Genomic DNA, 23,828 nt, shown 5'->3' on the forward strand with positions numbered 1-23,828 from the left:
AGAATTCCCAATGAGATTTTGTAAAGATAGAGCTTTTATCAATTCTTGCCTCAAACCTCCCAAAATTATGTTTGGTGAATTCTAGGGGAGTAAAACAGTCAAAAGTCTGTTAAATTATCGTCACCTATGGGAGTTTGTTATAAGATGTATCTGGCATGTAGATGGAAGAGATTTTGTGAAAGCTTGAGCTGGTGGAAACAGGGTAGGGCAGATAAGGGTGGATACACTCCTGGTAAACGGTTTGTGTATCTCAGGTGCTGATATGTCCCTGTGAACTGAGATGACAGTGGCTAACCTGGCCTTGCCTCAGCCGAGCTCACATGAGGGCAGCTGATTTTGCAATAGCTAGGTTTTCTGCACATAGGTGATGTTAAAGCCATATACTGTGGTTAGCTATCTGAGTCTTTATATTCTCCATTCTCTCACATGGAAGGACTGGGTTGTGAAATGTGACTAAGAACACCCACAAGGCTGGAGAACTTGCATGTTTGGGGACTTGGAACTGTGTTATTCCATGGTTGCGAAGTCAGAAGTTCTGTGTGATTAAGGAATTTATGGGCATCTTAGGTCACTTCCTGTGAGAGAATGGATAGGGGAAGGCAGTCATATTCATTGAGTACCACAGAGAAGGCCCTACCCTAGATGCTTTACACAAGTTACCTTTACATAAGTGATTCTCATCACAAACCTGCAAGGGCAATTCTATTACCTTCATTTGGTGAGCCAGAGAGGGTACAAGTAATTTATGACAGGGCACACCTGGTTCATTAGTGGCACAGCCAGCATGCACACCAAGGTCTAGTTGACACCAAAACTTGTATTCTTTCTGCTGTCCAGTTTTAGAGAATGTAGGCGTAGGCATAACAATTAGAGGCCAGAGATAGAGTCCCTGGCTACGAAGAGTCATCATGGATAAGGAGCAGAGCTGGGTGCTAGAAGAGAGGTGGAGGAGAGTTACTCAGAAGGACAGTTAGTTTTAATGGGAGGTGAGAAAGCCATGAAGTAAGATCCAGGACAGAGTGAGATTAAGAGATGGAAAAGCTGGTCTTCTGCAGAGGGCGCCACCTAGACACAGGGCTAAAAATATCCCTTGGAGAAAGGCAAAGGGTAAGAAAGAGTATGGGACCAGTTGGCTCACATTTCCCCATGTAAGCCGGAGTGGCAAAGTGCAAGCCAGTTATTTTTCTGCACAAATATGCGTCACTCTTAGGAAACTTTAAAACAAATCTTAATTCTAGGAGTTGTCTTTTTGTGTTGTGTATCTTTGTGACTTGTGTTTGCAAGCTTCTGGTAAAACTACAGGCTCCACTCCAAATCCTGAACCAGGCTGCTGTGATAGCCTGATAGTGCAGCAGCTGTCAGCCAAGATTTTGAAATTAAACAGTACCTGCTGTGGCACTAGTCCTCTTAGAAAGATTTATGGGTGAGGCCAGTTCCCATTCACCTGGATCTTGTGGCTCTGGCCACTTCTGAGCACCCTCTTTGGGAAAGCGAGCTCAAGACTGATAGGGAACCGGCCACCACTAGGCTTCAGGAGAGATTCAGGCTCATGGAGCAGAAAAGAGACACGGGTGGGCAAGGAGATGGTGAAGGCCCGGGAAATGGAAATGCTGGGGTACAGAGTTAGTTAGGTCCTATCCGATTACAAAAATATTTCTCAGACTCACTGGTCATATTGGCTGCCCGCTTCGTGTCTGTTTGATGGGAAGAACCTACAGTGGCAGGCATCTTCCAGTGCCCAGGCTGTGTTTGGCTTGGACACATGTGGTTGTGAAGACCTGGCAGGGAAGCTGAGGCGTGCAGTTTGCGAAGACAGAGTTAAAAATCCCTATTAGGGCAATCCTGAAATGCAGTCACACCTGAGGTCTGTGAAAGGATGCCAAGCCTGACCTTGCACTGGGCGTGCTCTGCTTTTCCAGGTGGCGCTCAGGCACGAGGATGGCGATGAGACCACGGAGCCACCCCCCAGTGGGTGCCGGGACCGGAGGAGGGCCAGCGTGTGTTCCAGTGGCGGAGGCGAGCACCGGGGCCTGGACCGCAGAAGGAGCCGCAGGCACTCGGTGCAGAGCATCAAGAGCACCCTGTCGGCCCCCACCAGTCCCTGCTCCCAGTCAGCTCCCAGCTTCAAGCCCAACCAAGTGCGAGATCTGCGTGAAAAGTAAGCATTAACTTGGCAGTGGAGAGGGGTGCAAGGATGCCATCCAAAAGAGAGCCCACAGGTGCCTGCCACTCTCCCCTCCCTGCTGGCCACTTTGTCCCCCACCCAGCATTGCTCCCTACCTCTTCTTGACCATTAAACCACCAGCCAAACATCTCGGTGGATTTCCCACACAGGGTGGCCCCTGGCGACTTTTACAGACTTCATCTTACTAATCCCAGGAACTGTTTTTCAGCTACCTGTTTTTAAAAAATATTATTTACTATCTCAGTTAATATCTGTTCAGAAAAGCTGTGTTTTATCAAATGGAAAAGACTTCAAAACACAAAACTTTGGCCTAGAAATAACCACTGTAGGAATGTGGGGTTGGAAGAGTCTCGCGATACTCCTGACAATACAGGGATATCTCTGGGTTGGTTTAAGTTAAACAGAAAAAACCCATATGAGTTTCCAAATAGCTGTCTCTATATATTTCAGTACACACTAATTCCATCATTTAGTCTGAAACATTTTTATTGAGTGTCTGTTAGAGGCCAGGACTACTTGAAGCCATGAAGATACATAAATAGAAAGGTATGATCTCTGTCCCTTTGAGCCTCACGTTTGGGCTGGGAGGAAGACCGAGAATGGTAGATAGAAAAAAATGGAATGATTGGCAATCCTATGAGATATTATATGTATTTAAAGTATAAAGTTTGACAAAATCTGCCAAACCCAGAGTGGTTCTATAGTATAGAGGTACAACAAAAGGCTGGCCATGCCTGCTCCAGAGTCTGGGTCCAGTTGTATCTTCCCAAATGGATGCTCTGAGGTCACTGGGATGAGGGACTTTAGGCTCCAGTCTCTGCCACCCAAATCCACAGGGGCTGACTAACACATTCCCATCCTGCTGCTGATAGTCTGGAAGCAGGAAGTGCTCATATCACTTGGCTGGATCATCCTCCCTCATCATAGAGATCCTCCTGGGAGTCAAATTTAGGTCACCAGGCTACATTATGAGGAAGAAAATCACTCAGAATAAGTTGGATGACCTTAAGAAAGAGTGATCAAGATATATCCCTCCTCTCCATCTCTAAGGGAATACCCCACCAGCACCAAGAGGTGCCCCAAACAATCTGATACCCATGGAATCATTTGAGCAGGACCCAGGCCATGCCTTCAGATACCTGTTATCCCAGGAGGAGGAGGGACTGGTTTGAGATAGATGTGCAACCATGGTCTATGTTGACACCCCTCTTCTACCTCATAACCCCAGATGCCCTCTCTCTACAGGCTTTTATGTTTCTGAGAGTCTGTGTACAGCTCTATTTTAGTGAAAAGAAGACCTAAACTTCTAAACATATTAAGGAAAGAGAACCTTTACCATGAGCATTGCATTTTGTGATCTAGAATCTTAAAGAAACTCAGCCAATTCTCAAAGAAAAAGCCCTCGAAGCTCTCTTCCAGCTGGCTTGAGAAGTTAACATGAAGAGAATTGAGGAAATTGTACACAATCCTCTGAAAAAGGCCTGTATATAAAGCCACCGAAGATGCTGAGGGTAGGAGTTAGGTGGACCTTGTCAGTAGTACTTGGTGTTCTCCTGCTTCATCATGTTTGTTCCTTGTCTGTTTCTTGCTGTTACACTTTTCGAGGATTCCTGTGTTGTGAGTTCAGGTGACAATGCTTTGCAATAGGCTGGTAAGGATGATGATACGGAAGTGGACCATCCTGGGCACGGTTCACAGTCTTGAAGTGCTGGGCTCGGTAGGATCTGAAACAGGAGGCCAGAGATGCCACTCTGAATGCTGTTTGCTTCATTCTTTTTGGAATTTCACTTTACTGGAATTATTACTTCAACATTAATTTAGTAGCATTTGAGCAAAATATACTTTGCAGCTTGTAAAGATAGGTGATGTTTTATCTATCTAGATTGATGATTATGAAGTGACTTCATTTACGAAGCCTGTTGGAGGGATTTTGCCTGTGGCCCCAAAGTGACGGCATGATTTTGATGAGGTGGGAGTGCGATAGTGGGAATGCAGTGGTGAAATGCTGATTGGGAAATGATTTCTTCCTGCATAGCTTAGTCACCTGCTCAACATCTGTGCCTCAAACAGTACCTCAGAGTCAAGTGGCTCATTGTGTTCTGTCCCCTGCAGACCTTGAAAGACACAGAAGCTGCCTCATGTACATATATGCACATTGCTCTTCATCCCTGCAAACGCCCTGGCCGCACCTAACGCTAGCTTATAGCAACATGCCTTCAGATGCCACATATGAAGGATTTGGGGCTAGATTTTATAACTCAGTCACCCAAGTGATGCCAACTTTTGTAAAGAAGGGAGAAATATGTTTTAGAAAGGGGTTCATATTGTTCTAAAAAAATATAGGGCAGTCTCCACTCAGATGGTCCTTTTGCATCATTTGAATTTAACTCTCACGATCATCCTCTGTAAGATTCAGACAGGACAGGTTTTATTAACCTCATTGTACAAGTGAGAAAACAGATGGGGCTAAGTGCCTATTCCAAATCACAGGACTAAGGGCTATGACCAAGGGCTGGGCCCTTGGCTCTTAATATCCAAAGTATACAGACTCCTTCCCAGTCAACCACATCCCAGCCAACCACTCCTAAACATATTCTTCAAGCGAGATGATTAGAGAGACAATTTGATTTACATTCCTTGTAGGTATTTTTTTGTTTGAGGTAAATACAAAAATTCAAAGACTTGGAGAGAAATGCTTAGTCTCCCTGTAGACTTAAGCCAGCTATGTGCTTTAATTCTAATAAAGACTAATAAGAGCTTGAACTCAGATTTGTTTGCTTTGGTTTCTTAGGAAATACAACTCTACACTGAGCATTTGCCCAGTAAGGTACAAGTTTATTGGTCATTGGTCAACTAAAAGCATCTTTATGGGACCATGTGTGTCATAATGAGTTTCATCTTTGCACTTAAAGTTTACAAATTTCATTGGAAGGGGAAAAAATCTTAGTGCTAGAAAGTTCTTAAAATTTAGCCCAAAGCAGGAGCCCTTTCTGTCAAGTTCCCAAGAGATGGGGTACACTTCCAGGCATGGGTGCTCTTTCTCCTGAGGTACCCCATCTGCCCTTGAACTATTCTGTTTATCCTGGTTCTTCCTCTGTTGACAAAAACAGGGCTGCTTCCTGCTCTGTGTGTCAGTCCTTCTGATACCAAACACTGCATGGGACTTAACACGTGAACTTTCAGTTTCATCCTGCTGATTTCCACACAACATTCCAAACTATAGAAGTAATTTTGAACTTCATTTAGTCACTAATGTTAACAGTTGTGCCATGCAGCTTTCAGTCATGTGTATATTTTAATATACGTGGAAGAGTGACCTGGCAGATAGTGGATGTTGACAACTGGTTAGGGAGTGGAGGGTCCAGACTAGTGCCACGTGCCTCAGCAGCAGGGTCTGCAAACTTTCTCTGTCAAGGGCCAAGTAACATGTTAAACTTGGAGTACCAGACGGTCTCTATTGCAACTACTCAACTGAATTCTGCCTTTGTAGCACGTCAACAGCCATCAGCCACTGGTACTGGCATGAGCATGGCTGCATTCCAGTGACATTTTATTTATAGACACTGAGATTTGAATTTTACATGTCATGAAATATTATTCTTTTGATTTTTTTTCAACCATTAAAAATGTGAAAACCACTCTTAGCTCACAGGCCGTATAAAAACAGGTGGTAGGCCAGATGTAGCCCACAGGCTGTAGTTTGCCAACCCCTGTCCCAAGGGTCTGGGTTTCTTGAGGGAGGTTGGGGGAAATTGGCAAAGGAGAGTATGTGGCATATGAGAGAAGAATCCACTGTGTTATGTGTGAGGGCTATGGGGAACAGTATTCTTAGATTTGGTGTTAGAGCAAGGAAGTCAAAGGAATATTCCATGAAGAGATAGAGACTATAGGGGACTTTGCTGATGGCTGATCATGAGTTCCCAGGGCACAGAGGAAGATTGAGGGGTCGGAGAAGGGCAAGAGATAAGCCAGATTGAGGGACACATGGAGAGGGAGGGGACTATGTGATGAGTCCAGGGAAGATTGGACTGTGCAGGCCGGGATTGGTCCCAGTGGTCCCTTCGGGCAGTGGTTCTTGACCGGGGTGATTTTGCCACCTAGGAGACATCTGGACACATTTTTGGTTGTTATAACTGGGACGGGGTGGTGCTGCTGGCATCTAGTGGGTGGAGTCCAGGAATGCTGTTCTACTTAGTGCAGGATAGCCCCCTGCCAAACAAATAATTATCTGTTTTAAAATGTCAGTAGTGTTGAATCTGAGAAATTCTGCCTTAGGGGAAGGCAGATCGTTGGTTATGTAATCCACATGATGCTGAGATAGAGAGTGTTTTGGCTATTGGAAAGGGTAGTTTTCTTAGAAGCATTTGGAACTCTGTGCACCTACCTTAAATATTCATGTGCATGGGTCAAAATTGACTCTTTTTCAGAGAATATAATCAGCTAAAACACAGATCTATAGAATATATTTCTAGTTTAAAAAAATCCATTGGCATTTTACAAACAAATGTCATGGAAACAGATTCCTTAAATGAGATATGAATTGTCTTTCACAGCTGACTGGTTACTCTGGGCTACTACATGGTTTACAGTAGAGTCTTTTTTTTGATTTTAAGTCCGTTTAGCAAAGTTTCACGCTTCAAATTCTCAGGAAATATGCTTGAACACTTTTAGGGGACCAAGCCTTGACTTAATCTCATGCTACTCTCAGTAACTGAAATGCCAACAAATCCAATTCTAATCGGCTTCATACACATCCATCACTCCAAAAAATTGACATAATGGAATGTGACACCAGCATAAAACAAGTTGGCAAGAGAGAACAATGATTATATAAGAGAGGTGTGACAGTCTACATCCAGGCTTCACGAACCTGTTCAGAGGAAGAGGAACCTGGCACAGTCTCACCAGAAATGTTCAAGTGGAGCTGAGGAATCTGCATTGAGAAGCAGCAGTGGGCAACTCTCCTCTTGGCTGCCGATACTTTCAACTGATGGTCAAGAAGGAAAAAAGTTACATATAAGAATTGCTAATTTTTTTCCATGTAAGTTACACTAGGGTTACAGAAAAATTGACTAATGTATGTTTCACAGAAGTCCTCATTCTAATAAATGCAAAGTGATAAGGATATATAAATGGGTCTTGTGGGAGTCAGGAGTTGTAGCCAAGCCTTGAGCTTGTAGTCAGGAGAACAGTAGTCTGACCTACAGACATACTTGACCCTTGAGCAGCAGAGAGAAGATGTGGCCTAGCCTCAGCTGGTTCCAGGAGCAAAAGAGACCATGCTTAGGTGGGCTCCAGGCCAGGAGTACTGATGCGGCAGTGGAGAGCCCACTTGAGCTGCAGGGAGAAGTCTGGCAGGGGTTTGTTGTGGGGCAGGGTGCAGAGACCAGCACTGGAAGCTCAGCCTGCACCTGGCAGAGAACAGACTACCGCTCCTAAGGAGTGGGAAGCACTCAGTCTCCACAAATCCTCACCAGAGGGGTGTTTAGAATCACTGTGGTCTTGGGCATAGGATGTGGAGGTATTGAAGCATGGGAGGGCAAGTTCAGAACCCAGCTCTCCCAAAATAGCTATGTGCCAATTTATATATGGCCATTGGCTCATAGTAGGCACTGAATAAATAGCAACTCTTTATGTTTTTAAATAAAAATGATAGGATTTAAAGATGTGGTGCCAACTGTGTGATGTAAAATGAAGAGAGTTGTACCATATAGTGCAAAGATGAATATAACAGTAACAGCCACAACAACAGCTAGCCTTTACGGAACACTTAATCATCTGCCAGGCAGTATGCTAAGCACTGCAAGTGTACAAACTCCATTTTTGCTATTATGTCACGATATAGGTACTGTAATTAATGCTGTGTGACAGGAGGGGAAGCTGAGGCACAGGGAGTTGAAGCACCTTGCCCAAGGTCCCACAGCTAATATATGGTGGAGCTGGTTCTACAGTTTAGGTGGTCTAGCTCCAGAGTCCATGTCCTCACCATTCTCCTAAATAACCCTTATTTCTGTTATTCTGTGGAAATAAATACATGCTGAGTACTTGGCAATTAGTAAGCCATTAGTAAATGGACACTGCTGTATTTATTATTGGATCTATATTTTTCATATCAATACATTAAAAATTATTGCTTAATGGTACATTAAAAAATTATTGCTAATGTTCCAATATATAGATATACCATAATACCATGATGCTGTCATACATTTTGCTATGGCTTGGTTCCAGTTTTTTTCTCATACCAAACTTGCTGTAATGAACATACACACTGGTGCACATACACGTTTGTGAGCATTAGCACTCTTAGATTCTTAGAAGTAGAATTTGAGACAATGGACATTTACATTTTAAATATTGATATTGCCATATTGCTCTCCACAAAGGCTGTATGGTTTTACTCTCCGTCAGCATATGACTCACCATTTTCCCACATCATCACTGAATGTTAGGAGATTTTCATAATTTTTGTAGTATTGAAAAGTGAAAAATGCCTCAGCATTGTAATTTGCATTTTTTTATTACTACTGAGGCTGTACAACTTTAATTGCTTCATTAGCTATTAACATTTCCTTTTCTTAGTGTTGCCTGTAAATATTCTTTGCTCATTTGTCTCCTGAATGGTTTGCCTATTTTAATTGACCTACAACTAGTCTTTATTTTTAATATGAAAACCTTCAGATTCAAAGTAGAATATAAGTATTCTTTACACATTTTAGATATTAATATTTTGACCATTTTTTCTGTCTTTCAAATGTCTTTTAACTGAATTTCTGACACCTCTCATCACATGCACTAAATATATTTGTTATGGTGTCCAATTCGTGAGTCCCGTCCCGTGTGGCTTTTAGGCATCATGCTTGCTCAGCAATGTGTGTCCTCTTTTTAACTGCAGCCTCTGCGTTGTCCTGGGAAAATGCTATGCTCTTCTTCCTTCCATGTCTAGGAGGTAAGCAATGGAAGAGGTAGGGATGGAGCCAGTGTTAGCAGTGGCGAATCTATACGGGTCTGCATCAACTCAATTCTTGCCTCCTTGAAGGAAAGAATTTGTCTGAGGGGCAAAAGACAGACCAAGACAAGTTTTTGAGCAGGAGTGAGAGTTTATTAAAAAATTTTAGAGCAGGAAAGAAGGAAAGTAAAATACACTTGGAAGAGGGCCAAGCAGATGCCTTAAGAGATCCAGATGCACTCTTTGGCCTTTGACTTGGGGTTTTATACATTGATGTGGTTCCAGGGTTTGTGTCTTTTCTACCCTGATTCTTCCCTTAGGTGGGCTGTCCGCATGCGCAGTGCCCTGCTGGCACTTGGGAGGGGCTGCGTGTGCACTGTGTTTACTGAAGTTGTGTGCATGCTCACTTGAGGCAGTTTCCCCTTATCTTCCAGTGTTCCTAGAGGAAGGTCATATACCAGTTAAACTCTGCCATTTTGCCTCTTAGTGCGTGTGCTTGAGCCCAATCACCCAACTTCTCAGATCTTATTGGGAAGCTGCTGATCACTAGCTTTATGTGTTTTTTCTCTCTTAGGAGACCGCCTTTCACTGGCACCAGCTATGACCAATTATTATTTTAAAAAGACAGTTTAACAACTGCCAGGCCATCACTTGATGGTCACCTGACATTCCTGGAGTTGGGGGATACTCTCCTTCCCTAGTCATATCTGCCTAACTACCTATTCTAACACCAGCATTTATGGAGGATTAACTTTGTACTGGCTATTGGACTAAACAATTTTACATGTATTGTAAATTCCATGAAGAAGGTAGGAGTATCGTCCCCATTTTACAGGTGAGGAAACCGAAACACAGAGAGGTTAAGGAGCTTGTCCCCAGATTACAGAGGCTCTGCTGGGTTGGGACCCAGGCAGTCAGAGTCCATAGCCTGCACTCAGAACCTAACATACCTGAAAGTACTCTCTGAATCTATAGAATGTGTTCAGTAATGAGAATGTTATATCTTTTGAGGATGAATTAGATTTGTTGAGAAAGCAAAAAATCACTCAGAGCAAATGTTTTACTGGAACTTGGTAATCTTAGTGAGCTGTATTGTTTTTTAGTCACTGTTTGATTTTGATCCTGAAATCATACTTACTGATTTGCTTGTTTTTCTCATAAATGGGCACTGAAGACATTTTATAGAGGGGACTTCTGAAAATGTTCAGAGCAATAGCTGCAACACTGGAACAAGGCTTTCCAGTTAGTCATAAGTAACCACTACCTTGGCGATGGAGTAAGGGAAGGTATAGAGAACAGAAACTCATAGTTAAAAGGAAGCCACAGTTAACTATCAATTATCGTGAGGCTGTGGAGGAGCAGAGACCTAAGCCATCCTCAGTTTTTGATGGCTCATAACTGATGCATACCAATTAGTGGCCCAGCAGGTGGTAGGATGCGGGTAGCCAAGCCTTGGGGCTGTGCCTTTGGAGTGGGAGCTGGAGGGAGGCAATTGGAGGGGTGTTGTTTTCTATTTTCCTGCAGGAGTGAAGAAGAGTTTTGGCATCTTTCCACCAGCCACAGGAAGCAGTGGGCAAATCGGGGAGCCTACTTATGGAACTGTGCTGGGGGGTGAGCTCATCTTCCCATGTTTTGACAGGAAGGAGGTGTGTTTACATGCCTAAGTTTTAGGACAGCACAGCTTCCCATGCCTTGTCCACAAAACTTCATTGCCAGGATTAGAGAATTCATCCTGAGTCTGCAGTAGAATAGCAGAATAGTAGAGCAGCCCTATCTCTTTCTTGGAAGCAGTTGGCAATGAGCAATCTATTTGCAAGCAAAAGACATACTGTGAGATGGGGTGTTATATGACGTTAATCTACAAAATCTGCAACTCAGGTGACCTGCTCAGCCCTGGCTCCTGGAGGAAGGCTGGCCGTGTGCAGTGAAGGAGCAGCAGGTGAGGTGGGGGAGGGCATAGGCGTGGTTGTGTGTAAACTCAGGATGATGGTACCTGTACTCCTTAATACGGTGGTGGGAGAGTTAACACAAATATGTGCTTTGCCCAGTGCTGTTATTATCATCAATCCATGCCCTGAAGCATTCACGGATATTACTCTGTTAAGGTAATTGTTAAATGAATATGGACGTGAATTGGAGAAAATATTTTGTGCACCCGCATAAACATGCTAGAGGATTTCACAACAACCAGATTAACAACCATTGGTACTATGAGTGGCAAGTAGCTACTTGGGAAGATTTATCTGATGGTAAGTGACTTGTTATAAATGGGATTCACTGACAAGTGTGGTGACCTCCTGACAAAAGTATGATTGGAATACAGCCAGTGATTCAGCAGTGTCCAAGAGATTCATGCTGAGTGTTGAATAGCAAAGGGTGGCCTGGAGAGAAGAGGTCTGGGAAGGCTGGGAGAGTGGGCTTGGAAATGGGAGGAACTGTATTGAATAAAGGCAGAGGCACTGGGACATGAGGAAGAAGTTACTTTGCAATGCTCCTGGTATCTGGGGCGGGATTGGCTTCTCAAATATTCGTTGTGACCAGATTGCAAATTTGTTGTGGGTTTGAACTTCCCTGAATTGAATCTGAGGATCTTTCTAGGTTCTGAAGAAATTGGCAAAATTTTATCCTTAAGGCCAAGTGGAGCTACTGATGAATTTCAAATGATTAAGTGAAAATCAGTGTAGTGTTTCTGCAGGAGCATTCTGGGCACAGCATGGGGAACTCACTGGGGGAGAGCAGGCTGCACAAAGAGATTGGTGCAGGGCTTTCGCTGGTCCAGGAAGGAGTGGAGGGGGCCTGACTGAAGCAGGGGAAGAGAGAAGGGAAAGTACAGGGAGGTGCTGAGAATGCAGGAGGCTGTGGTTTGTAGGACAATGACTGGATTGCATGGTGACAAAGACAAAGGGGCCTGAGGTGATTCTCTGGCAATCAGTAACCTGGGGCCAGTCAGTAAGCTCCTGGATGTATCTATGGGTCAGGCAGATGGAAATTCCCATAGTCAGTTGGATAGGCACTTCTGGAACTCCAATACCTGTAGGTGATGGTTGAAGCTCTAGTTTAGAGGCCCTAACCCAGGAAAAATAAACTGCATGGGCAGAGAACTGGCTGGGGAAAACCAGCAAGAGAATGTACAGAACTTTCATCTCATGAAATGAAGAAACTGAGAACATCACCCACATTTCAAGTCAATGAACCTTGACATCAGTTATCATCAAGTGTGACTGTTTCTCAGGCTAGAGTGGACTTAGGTGGTATGAGGGCTCTGGAAGAAACAAGCTGTTTACTATGGGAATGGAAGCGAACATACCTCAGATGGAAAGGTTCAAGTTCCTAGTTGAATCTTTTACTTGCTTTGGGAATTTTCTTTCAGGGCCAAGTTTCCCTTTGACCTGTCCAAACCCCACATCTCCTGTAAGATGCACCTTCTCCTCTGTGTTCTGAATGTTCACAGCACTTTCTAAGGCTCGATTTTTGCTGGCAGTCCACGCAGGCATGGGTGTGGGTCATCCAGCTAGAGAATAAGCATTTCTCTCTATAGCCCTCTGCAACTCCCAGGATCCCTTTGGAGATGGAGCAGGGGCTATCTAAGGAGTACTAAGCTGGGTTGATCAAATGCAGCCATGGAAAGAGAAATGAGATTATTTTTTCTTGATAAGAGCCTGTGGAGGCAGCCTGGTGGTAACTCTTCATTGATGAAGGTTGAACAAATAGGGAAGTGAAACTCTGAAGATGTACATTGAAGAGGCCAAAGAAAGCCTGGGCACATTTGGGATGATTCTGTGTAGCCTAAATGCCTTTGATCGTCCCGAGAGAGCATACTTCCCAAAGACATGATAGCTCAGTGAGGAATCCAGAGACTATTATATCACACTTCAGGAGTACTCAATTACCATATCCACATGGCCCCAGATAAATAATTTCATTCCTGAGGTTTTTTTTTTTTTTTCCAGCCATGTGGTTCTGGTTTTATAAACATGAGATTAAAAACTGACTAGAGATGAGCCCTCATAAGGAGGTGGCTGGTCAGGGCCTGTGGGGTGCAGGTATTTGTCTCCCAGGGGTCCTTGGATAGAGCAGGGATGGTGGGGGTGGGCATGTCACGACTGCATGCATGTGGGCAGGCCTTCTGGTATGAAACACATACTGAATTACCAGACTTCAGAAGCTATTTTTTCTTTTCTATATATTTTTTCATTCATAACAAGCTTTGCAAAACTGCCTTCCAAATGGAGGGTCAAATAATTTTGATCATGAGATCAGGAAAAAACAACTATGAAGTACCTTGGACTCTACCTTTGTTTTTGTTTGCATTTATGGACTTGGGTCCACATCCATGATAGCTCATGTCTATAAGTAAATGAGCAAGCCACCAGATCTCTAGAAGAGAAGCCCCCAATACTAGGTGTGTTATTTCAGAGTAGCCTTACATTAAAAGACTTCTTAGTCAATAGTGACATCTTATGACCTTTGATATTACAGTTACTGATTTTGTTGAGACAGGAATACTGTCTTCTGGGACTAAAGGAACAAAATCATATTCATTTGTTCATCTAACTCCTATTTCATTTTTGTTTTTGTTTGTTTTGGGGTTTTTCTGAGACAGAGTCTTGCTCTGTCACCCAGGCTGGAGTGCAGTGACACAATCTCAGCTCACTGCAACCTCCGCCTCCTGAGTTCATGTGAGCACATCCAGCTAATTTTTGTATTTTTAGTAGAGATGGGATTTTACCAAGTTGGCCAGGCTGGTCTTGAACTCTTGACCTCACGTGACCCGCCTGCCTCAGCCTCCCAAAGTGCTGGGATTACAGGTGTGAGGCACCGTACTAGGCCCCAACTCCTATTTCCTTGTGCCTCCCATGTTCTTGGATCTGAGAATACAGTGGTGAACATGAACCTTACAAAACATACAGTTTCATAAGACAGAGTGCAAATATTATAGCAAGTAAATATGAGTAGCTTTAGAAGAGGGCTTTTGAAGCGAGCCAGCAGGGCCATGTGGTAGATAGAGGGTTACAGGGATATGAGAATATATCCTTGAGGAGACCCTCCAGAAGTGCACAAGGATGTGGACAGGGAGAGGCCTTACTGCATCCCTGTGGTACAGCATGGCAAACAATTGGGGACTAGCTAGATCAGTAAAACGTCTACTTTTGGATGATTTATGTTGTGGATGCCACCAGCAGGTAGAAGAAATGCACAATACCAATACCAGAAGTGCTAACGTAGTTGTCAAATCATTTGCTATGTAAAAAGATTGTAGAATAATATGTTTTTTTTAAAATCTAGATGTTTATTCACCAAATGTATAACAGTGGTTATTTCTGGTCAAAGGAGACTTAACTGTTATCAGTAGTAGTATAAGCATACTTCCTTTCTCAAAGGGAGTATGAATTCCTGTAAGTAAATATTCATTAAAAATAGCAAAAACTCTTTAGAAAAGAGAAAAGTGTGATGGGGCTGGTCCAGAAAACCTCCTCAGGCATTTAGGTTGAGTCCCAAAGGATGAGAAGAGTAAGAGAAGAGCTCCCCAGGCCAAGGGCATGCCATGTGCAATGGCAAAGGGAGAAAGGGGCTTGGTATATCTGGGTATCTAATAGGCATCTTGGGAGGTGAGGCTGTAGCGTGTGGCCAGAAACAGGTGGCATAGGGTGGAGATGAGGTTGCACAGTGAGCAGACCAGGTCCTGCAGGGCCTGGGAAACCACAGCACAGAGTCCGGTTATTAGTCAGCATGTGAGGCTCAGTTGTGCACATTTGAAAAGCTGCCTATCTGCCTGCCTGCTTGGTGGGGATCGGATTGGAGGCAAGGGAGAGTGGCAGCAGGGACATAGGTCGTGGCTATTGATGCCAAGCTACTGGGAAACATTGATAACTTAGACCAGGGTAGTCTCAACCCTGCCAAGCATCTAAAATAACCCATGTTCAGGTTCTACCCCAGAACAATTGAATGCAGTTTCTGAAAGGAGGGCCTGAGCATTCACCTTTTAAAATAATATGCCTTAAGGATGCGAATCTCTAGGCTGGAGGTTGCCAGTGGTGTGGAGAGGCAGGAAGCGTTGAGGCATGCATTAGAGACAGTGTCAGTCACCCCCATTGCTGGACCTCCCAAGACCACCCTCAACAGCCTTGAGCTTGTCCTGGTTTAGGAGGGTGGTCTCTTCCCATAAGTGAAAAACACACATGAGATTAGTCATTGTACAACTTCTGGAAGTGACAAAACATGTCTCATGTCCACACAACTGGATTTTTTAGTTATAACAGCCAGAACTGGAGTCTTCCATTCCAGTGTATTTTCCTTCATTTTAAGGGTGAAATAAGACCTGGATCCACCAAGGTCTTGGGACAGATTGAAGAAAGACCCTGAGCAGGGCTGTTTTTTGCCTCTGAAGGCTGCCTTCCTGAAATCTCATGAGGGGACTATGCTTAGTTCCTGCTGTTTCCACAGTTCTTAGGAAAATGCAGCCTATCTTCATCCTAATTTCTCTGTCAACTTCTGCTCTGTCAACTTCTGAGGGACATTTAAAGCAACGAATATTGGCCGGCGTGGTGGCTCACGCCTGTAATCCCAGCACTTTGGGAGGCCGAGGTGGGTGGATCATGAGGTCAGGAGATCGAGACCATCCTGGCTAACAGGTGAAACCCCGTCTCTGCTAAAAATACAAAAAAGGCAGGGTGTGGTGGCTCACCTCTGTAATCCCAGCAATTTGGGAGGCCAAGGCGGGCGGATCACGAGGTCAGGAGATCAAGACCATGGTGAAACCCCGTCTCTACTAAAAAATACAAAAAAAATTAGCCGGGCGTGGTGGCGGGTGCCTGTAGTCCCACCTACTCGGGAGGCTGAGGCAGGAGAATGGCGTGAACCCGGGAGGCAGAGCTTGCAGTGAGCGGAGATCGTGCCACTGCACTCCAGCCTGGGCGACAGAGCGAGACTCCATCTCAAAAAAAAAAAAAAGCTGGGCGTGGTGGTGGGCGCCTGTAGTCCCAGCTACTCGGGAGGCTGAGGCAGGAGAATGGTGTGAACCTGGGAGGCGGAGCTTGCAGTGAGCCGAGATCGTGCCAGCAACGAATATCTGTGGCTTAGAATAAAGTGTTTTTTTTTTTTTTAAACACAAAGTCAAGGTATACACAAAAACTGGTGAGAAGCCTCATAGTCTGTAGTTATCACTAGATCCATTTGTTTTACACCTGAATAAATCTGTAACCCCAGTTACTAATTGTGCTTTTTTTCTGTTGATGTTTGTACTCTGCAGACTTGAATTCCATTATGTTAAATTACTCCATGTTTCAGCAGAAATAATATGCTTGACCCTTTAATATTTATTTGATTCTAAAACAAAATAGCAAAATAATGGCTTATGTATTAAGGTACTAGCCCATAGTCCAGCTTCTTGGGTATATTAGGGATCCATGAGCTATACTTTATACTCCTCCTAAACTTTGCATGCTACAGGGACAATAAATACTTTCCTGTCTAACTTTGGGTTCTCACCATGGAAACATCAGAGCAACAGCTGGGCTCTGTTAGATGTCTTTTCATTCTCTTGGCTGGTAAAATCTTTTGCAGAAACTTTAAAAAACTTGATGGCTAACAAAACTCTACTTTTAAGTGAAATCACTGATTCAAGTTGGCCAGATATTTGTCTTAACTGATTACGATTGCTAATTGGAAGTTTTCAAATGTTACCTTGGGCCCTTGGTGACCTAGAAACAGCCTTAAAGTTAACAGAAAGTGTGAGTCACTGTGAGGCCAAGATCAAACTGCAATTTAAGGATTCAGTAACACAGAAGGCTGCAGACCAAGACTGGAGGGCCATGTTCTTTACCATAAATGTAACAAAATATTTCTATGAATATCTTATATGTCCTATGCATTTTATGGAACTAAATGGGACAGTTTAAATGTCTGCATTTTATCTAAACCTTAAGACGGCTTTTTGACTAGTTGCCACAAATGGGTCATAAGGCACTGCTCCTCCAGGCTTTCAGGACAGCAGGCAAGTCTGGGGTGACTGGGCTCTGGGCTGGTCTTCTGGGAGCTGTACGCAGCCTTGTCCAATACGAGGCATTATTTTTCTCTGTGCTGTGTGAAAGAAGGATTGCCAAGCACGGTTCAGGAACCGTGCTTCGAAGGAACCGTGCAGTGATGAAAACAGTTTAGATTCTGCTTTAAGTTTCATGGGGTAGCCTGGCATGTTATAAAGGAGTCTGGCCTGGATGTTAGGAGATCAGAGTTCTTACTGGCAACCTGTTTGGTCTTGCCCTCTCCAGACCCCATCCTTCTTCTCTGCAACATGGGGAGATCTCTGAGGTCATCTCCAAGTAATTGTCAATCTTGCCCTTGGATCATGCATAGCAAGAGCCTCTGTGCCGAACGCTGTGCTAGGTCCTCAGGGCCATGGAACTGCAGCAGGCAGCAAATACTTATTGGATGTCCCTTGGAGCCAGGGCTCTGGGCAGGGTCTCCTGGAGAAACAGAGCAGGAAAAGTAACTCTAGTCAGGAAAAATGGCTCTTGCAAGGACTCCAAGAATGAAATGCCCTTGATGTTGGGTGGAAGCTTGATATATCAGTAGACTGTGTAAGGCTAGGGTGAGGAGGTTCACGAAGGGAAAGTGGAAGACGAAGTTGGAGAGGTGATAAGAGATTAGAGGTCAGCTAGGCAAACTAGACTTGATCCTAGGTCAGTAGACATGTTGCACAAGGGAATGTCATGTACAAAATTCCATCTTGTCCCTTACTCAGGTCCTCTTTGGCTTTAAACAGCCAAGTTTTGCTTCAACAGCATGGCAGAGTCTTTTTGGGTAGCTTGGGCCCCATGGGTTGAATACTTCCTGCTACAGTGAGTTGTTTAGTGTCTCTTCCCTCACTGGTCTGTAATCCAAGGATGGGGACTTTGTTTAGCCACTGCACCCCAGCATCTTTGCACATAAGTGCTCAATAAAATTTGTTAAGCAGGGCACGGTGGCTCATGTCTATAATGCCAGCACTTTGGGAGGCCGAGATGGGTGGATCACTTGAAGTCAGGAGTTCGAGACCAGCCTGGCCAACATGGTGAAACCCTATCTCTACTAAAATTATAAAAATTAGCTGGGTGTGGTGGTGCATGCCTGTTATCCCAGCTACTGAGGCTGAGGCAGGAGAATCGCTTGAACCCGGGGGTTGGAGGTTGCAGTGAGCCAAGATTGCGCCACTGCACTCCAGACTGAGCAACAGAGCGAAACTCGGTCTCAAAAAAAAAAAAAAATTGTTAAATAGAGGGAGATAAAGCCCTTGCCCCATAATTACACTGCTTTTTTAGTAAACGAATGCAGGAACAGAAAACCAAATACTGCCTCTTCTCACTTATACGTGGGAGCTAAATGATGAGAACACATGGACACATAGAGGGGAACAACAGATACTAGGACCTACCTGAGGGCAAAGGATGGGAGGAACGAGAGGAAGAGAAAAAAATAACTATTAGATATTAGGCTTAGTACCTGGGTGAAGAAATATGTACAACAAACCCTTGTGATGTTGTTTACCTATATAACAGACATGTATATGTGTCCCTGAACCTAAAATAAAAGTTTAAAAAAATTGTTTCGTTACATATTTTAAAAATCCTAATTGTAGGCCAGGCGCAGTGGTTCATGCCTGTAATCCCAGCACTTTGGGAGGCTGAGGCAGGTGGATCACGAGGTCAGGAGATCGAGACCATCCTGGCTAACACGGTGAAACCCCGTCTCTACTAAAAATACAAAAAATTAGCCGGGCGTGGTGGCGGGTGCCTGTAGTTCCAGCTAGGAGGCGGAGCTTACGGTGAGCCGAGAGAGCGCCGCTGCACTCCAGCCTGGGCAAAAGAGCGAGACTCCGTCTCAAAAAAAAAAAAAAAAAAAAAAAAAAATTAAAAAAATCCTAATTGTACAGAGTTGGGTTAATTATAATCCTTTGTTCATGACACATTGTCATCACTGGTCTTTGCATGATTATCTTCTAGTTTATTTTATAAAATATTTACGAATATAATAGAACATCAAGGAGACTATGACCTAACCTAAAAAGCAAGGTGTTACTTCTAACTTCCATCTCTGTGCTTCCCAATCTCCCATCCCTAGGCCTGGGTAACCAATACTTAAATATGTGTTTATCACTGTCTTACGGGGTTTTATTGTGGGGGTTTTTTTCAGTATTTTTTTTTTACTTTTTTTTCTGTACTTCAATGGACGTATTTTTTAAAGTATTACACACATATGACACATTAGTTTATATAATTCTGATTTTCTGCACTTTGTTGTAAAATGTATGTTCTTCTTGGACTTGTTTTGGTCACTCAGCGTTATGTTTCTGGTGGTCGTCCATATTGTCACGTGAAGCTGGCAATATGGATTTTCACTGCCTGGAATTTACCACAATCTTTATCTATTTTTTCCCTTCAGAGGGCATTTGGGTCATTTCCAGCTTTTGACAATTACAGATAGTGCTGCTGAGAACATTATTGGACTCTCATCCTAGTACACTGGTGCTTCAGTATCCCTAGGGAAGGTTTCTCAACCTCAGCACTGTTGACGTTTTGAACTGAATAATTCTTTGTCGTGGGGGCTATTCTGTGCATTGTGGGATGTTTTACAGCATGCTTGTGTCAGCCCACTAGATGCCAATAGCATTCCCTGCCCTCCACCCCTGTTGTGACAACTAAAAATGTCTCCAGATGCTGACAAATGTCCCCTGGGGTTGGGGGCAGAATAACCCTGGTGCAGAATCGCTGCCCTAGGGTATAGCAATACAACTTTTAGGTCATGATATTAATGTTTAATTTTACAAGATAGTGTTAATTATTTTGCCAGTTAAACCTATATATCCTCGTATCAACAATATATGAATTAGTTGACTTGCATTCTTTTCATCACTTGGTATCATTAGACTTCTAATTTTACCAAGTAGATAGAAAATGGTATCTCACTGTGGCCTTAATTCATAGTGCCCTGATTGATAATCAGAATAAAATATCTCTTCATACCAGTTTGTTGGCTGTGTTCATGTATTTTGTTCATTTTATAGTTGTGTTTTTGAAGTTTAAAATATATTTTCATATATTCTTGATTTGAGTTTGTCTGTTAGATATATTGCAAATGTCTGCTCCCAGTGTATTGCTCAACTTTTTCTCATTCTGATTGCTTTGGTCTTAGAACATACTTTAACATTATTTTGAATGTTTGTATCGTGTTTCTGAAAGAGCTCAGCAACATTCATTTTCCTTTTGGTGTTTGGAAGCCCGAGAAACATGACCCATTAGCCTGAGACCCAAATCCGAGGCATTACATTGGCTTTGTTGGAAACTACGCCCCAAAGAACTGGTCAGGCTGCAGGCCTCTGGGTTGCTTTTCCAACTTGAAAACGGTGACCTCAAATCTGGGACTGTTTGCGGTGAAAAGGAAGATACCTAATGGATTTGGAACAGGCCTGGGCCCTGGAGTAACTCCTTATCAATCACAAGCAAAAGACCTGTGGAGGTATTGGAAAGCCAAAGGCCAAACACCCAGAATTCCTTAGCACAATATAAACACAATTAAGTTACGCTTTATAAGAAAATCTAGTTTGAGAAAAAGCAAAGTTGTCAGAATTAATTATTCAGTCTTAAATATTATTAGCATAAAAATCATTTCATTTGACTGATTTTATCATAGACTGGAACTAAATAAAATCAAGCCTCGAAAGTCCTGTGCCCTAGGAGAGGATATTTCCTTCTCCACCCCTTTGCATTATAGGCAAGGCCAGTGATCTGGTCATAGGGCATCCTGGACGTAGGCCCTCCAAGTGGGTCATTGTGCTGTCTGCCCTTGGTTCTGCCCTGCCACTTATGATAGCAAAGCTACAACACATACATCATATGAAGATTTATTGTGGGATCTGAGGATGTTGAGCCCAAAGAGAAGACAGCTTGGGATGTAGGTTCAGATAGCTGTCTTTAAATATCTGTGAGACAGCCATTTGGAAAAGAGTTGGATCAAAAAGACAAAGTGCTTTTACATATTAATGCATTCCTCCTAGGGGATAGGTACTGTTAGTGCCCCATGTAGGGATGAGTAAAGTGGGGTCCAAGGTCACAGGGCTCAAAAGTGGTGACTCTGAAGACCAGACCCAGGCAGTCTGGCTCCAGAACCTCTCCAGCTCTACCTGGGAGAGTAAATGGAATCAAGGAATTTTGGAGGGAGGGGCTCAGTGTTTTGTTTTAAAGAGGAGAGGCCCATCGGTTGGCAAGGTGGAGGGCATTTTGTGTGGACCAGAAGTAATAACACCTGCAAACTCCTGATCAAGCTGAGGGAAGGTGGCCTCATGATGGAGCTTGTAGGTATAGTTTGGCAGCTGTGGGAGCACATGGAGGAAAAGAAGACTGAGGCTGGTAGGGGGTGGTGTGTATGAGGGTATACTATGCCAAGCTCAGAAGGATGGCTGAGTCCGGGCATGGTGGCTTTGGGAGGCTGAGGTGGGTGGATCACTTGAGGTTAGGAGTTCAAGACCAGCCTGGCAAACATGGTAAAAACTCATCTCTACTAAAAATACAAAAATATTCATCCATGGTGGCATATGCCTGTAGTCCCAGCTATTCGGAAGGCTGAGGCACGAGAATCACTTGAACTCAGGAATCAGAGGCTGCAGTGAACCAAGATGGTGAGATTGTGCCACTGCACCTCAGCCTGGGTGACAGAGTGAGACTCTGTCTCAAAAAAAAAGGAAGGATGGCTTAGATGTGCTTGTTTGTGGCTTCTGCCATGACAGGAGGGATGCTATCTCACTGCTCTCCTTGTTTCTGCTAGAGGCACCCCGAGTCCAGATCCATCTCTCCCTTCTTAGTTACATAATTCTCAATCCCTCTACCTACCTCTTTATAAGGCCAGTATAACCTTGATTTCAAAATCTGACAAGCACATTATAGAAAGGGGAATTACAGATCAATCTCTTTCCAAAATAGGTAAAAAATTCTTAATAAATTAAGAAATAGAATCTAGCTGTATATAAAAAGATAATACATTACAACAAAATGTATTATCTTTATTAAGTTTATTCATGGTATGCAAGGTTGGCTTAACATTTTTTTTAAAAAAGCAGTCTTCATAGCTCTTTAACAGAAAAAAGGAAAAATCATATGATTATCTTAAATGCAGGAAAGGCATTTGACAGAACTTTAATACTTGTTTATAATAAAGATTTTTAGCAAACTAGGATTAGAAGGAAATTTTTTAATGAAGGCTATCTACCAAAAAAATCTATGACAAACCTTATACTTTTCCCTGAGATTTGGAACAAGAAAAGGAAGCATCACTGTCTCCATTTCTTCATAATGTTGGAGGTCCTAGCAAGTGGACTAGGGCAAGGAAAAGGAAAGGCAGATGAATTGGAAAGAAGTAGGTAAAGCCATCATTATTTAGTGATGAAACGATTGTCTACAGAGGAAGTCTAAAAGAAGCTCTAGAAACAGTATAATAAATTTAGAAAAATTGCTGGATACAAGCAAAATTTACAAAAAGTTTATTTCTATATACTATCAACAAATAGAAAATAAAATTGAGTTCAATAATATGTACAGTAGCATCCAAATTTATACCTAAAAATAAAGATATCTAAGACCTCTGTGAAAATTTAAACACTATTAAGAGAAATTAAGATAGCAGTAAGATTAGGTCTAAATAAAGGCTATATATATCACAACCATAGATTAAAAAACATAGCAAAGATGTCAGTTCTTCAAATTTGCATATAAATTCAACATAATCCCTATCAATAGTACAGCAAAAAACAAGTTGACTTGTGAGAAAAAGTCCAGAAATCTACAAATATATATCTTAATGTATATTAACCTGATTTGTGAACAAGATACTGAAGTGGAGAGAAGGCCCTTTACTAAATGGTTCTGGGCCAATTGCGTATCGATGTAGGGAAAAAAATGTATCTGACCCCTATCTTACATGATAACAAAAATCAATTAGAGATGGACTCTACAAATGTAAATCTGAAAGTTAGTGAAATGAAGCTTTTAGAAGGACACAGAGACTATCTTTAAGACCTGGTGTAAACAACAACAACAAAAATTAACACACAAAGGCATTAGCCATCAAAGGTAAACAGGACATTATTAAGAACTTCTGCTTATTAAAAGATGACATGAAGTGAATGAAAGACAATAGAGAAGGGAAAGATGTTTACAGAACATATAAATGACAAAGGGCAAATGATATTAAAAACACTTCTTCGGCCGGGTGCGGTGGCTCATGCCTGTAATTCCAGCACTTTGGGAGGCCAAGGCGGGTGGATCACCTGAGGTCGGGAGTTTGAGACCAGCCTGGCCAACATGATGAAACCCCGTCTCTACTAAATAATAATACAAAAAATTAGCTGGGCATGGTGGTGGGTGCCTGTAATCCCAGCTACTTGGGAGGCTGAGGCAGGAGAATCGCTTGACCCGGGAGGCAGAGGTTGCAGTGAGCCAAGATCGTGCCACTGCACTCCAGCCTGGGCAACAAGAGCAAAACTTTGTCTTCAAAAACACACTTCTTCAAATACAAAAAAAAATTCATTTTTTTAATGGGCAAAAAACTACTTGGACACTTCAAAGAAGAGCATATCCAAATGGACATTAAAAGTGTGACAGTGTGCCCAACTTCATTAGTCATCAGAGAAAGCAAACTAAAAGCACAGTGAGACATCACTACACACAG

The 23,828-nt window shown here is 43.0% G+C and overlaps 1 protein-coding gene across 45 annotated transcripts in view, besides 2 other annotated features; it reads left to right on the forward strand.

Annotated features, from left to right (window-relative positions):
* FHOD3 (formin homology 2 domain containing 3) overlaps positions 1-23,828 on the forward strand; it is a 482,508-nt gene that overhangs the window by 325,879 nt on the left and 132,801 nt on the right. For all 45 annotated transcript variants that reach the window (XM_011526189.2, XM_011526190.3, XM_017026008.2 and 42 more), the window contains one exon: positions 1,920-2,158. In XM_011526189.2, coding sequence (XP_011524491.1) covers positions 1,920-2,158 — 239 coding nt within the window. The remainder of the gene's footprint in view (positions 1-1,919; positions 2,159-23,828) is intronic.
* Positions 12,296-12,385: an enhancer, noted in NCBI's record as "active region_13239". NCBI's record gives its function as "activates an Ori minimal core promoter by ATAC-STARR-seq in GM12878 lymphoblastoid cells {active_cell/tissue: GM12878}" and the evidence as "EXISTENCE:reporter gene assay evidence [ECO:0000049][PMID:35858748]".
* Positions 14,773-14,942: an enhancer, noted in NCBI's record as "active region_13240". NCBI's record gives its function as "activates an Ori minimal core promoter by ATAC-STARR-seq in GM12878 lymphoblastoid cells {active_cell/tissue: GM12878}" and the evidence as "EXISTENCE:reporter gene assay evidence [ECO:0000049][PMID:35858748]".

The sequence above is a fragment of the Homo sapiens genome, chromosome 18 (genome assembly GCF_000001405.40).
Source record: "Homo sapiens chromosome 18, GRCh38.p14 Primary Assembly".
In the NCBI taxonomy this organism is placed as follows: Eukaryota; Metazoa; Chordata; class Mammalia; order Primates; family Hominidae; genus Homo; species Homo sapiens.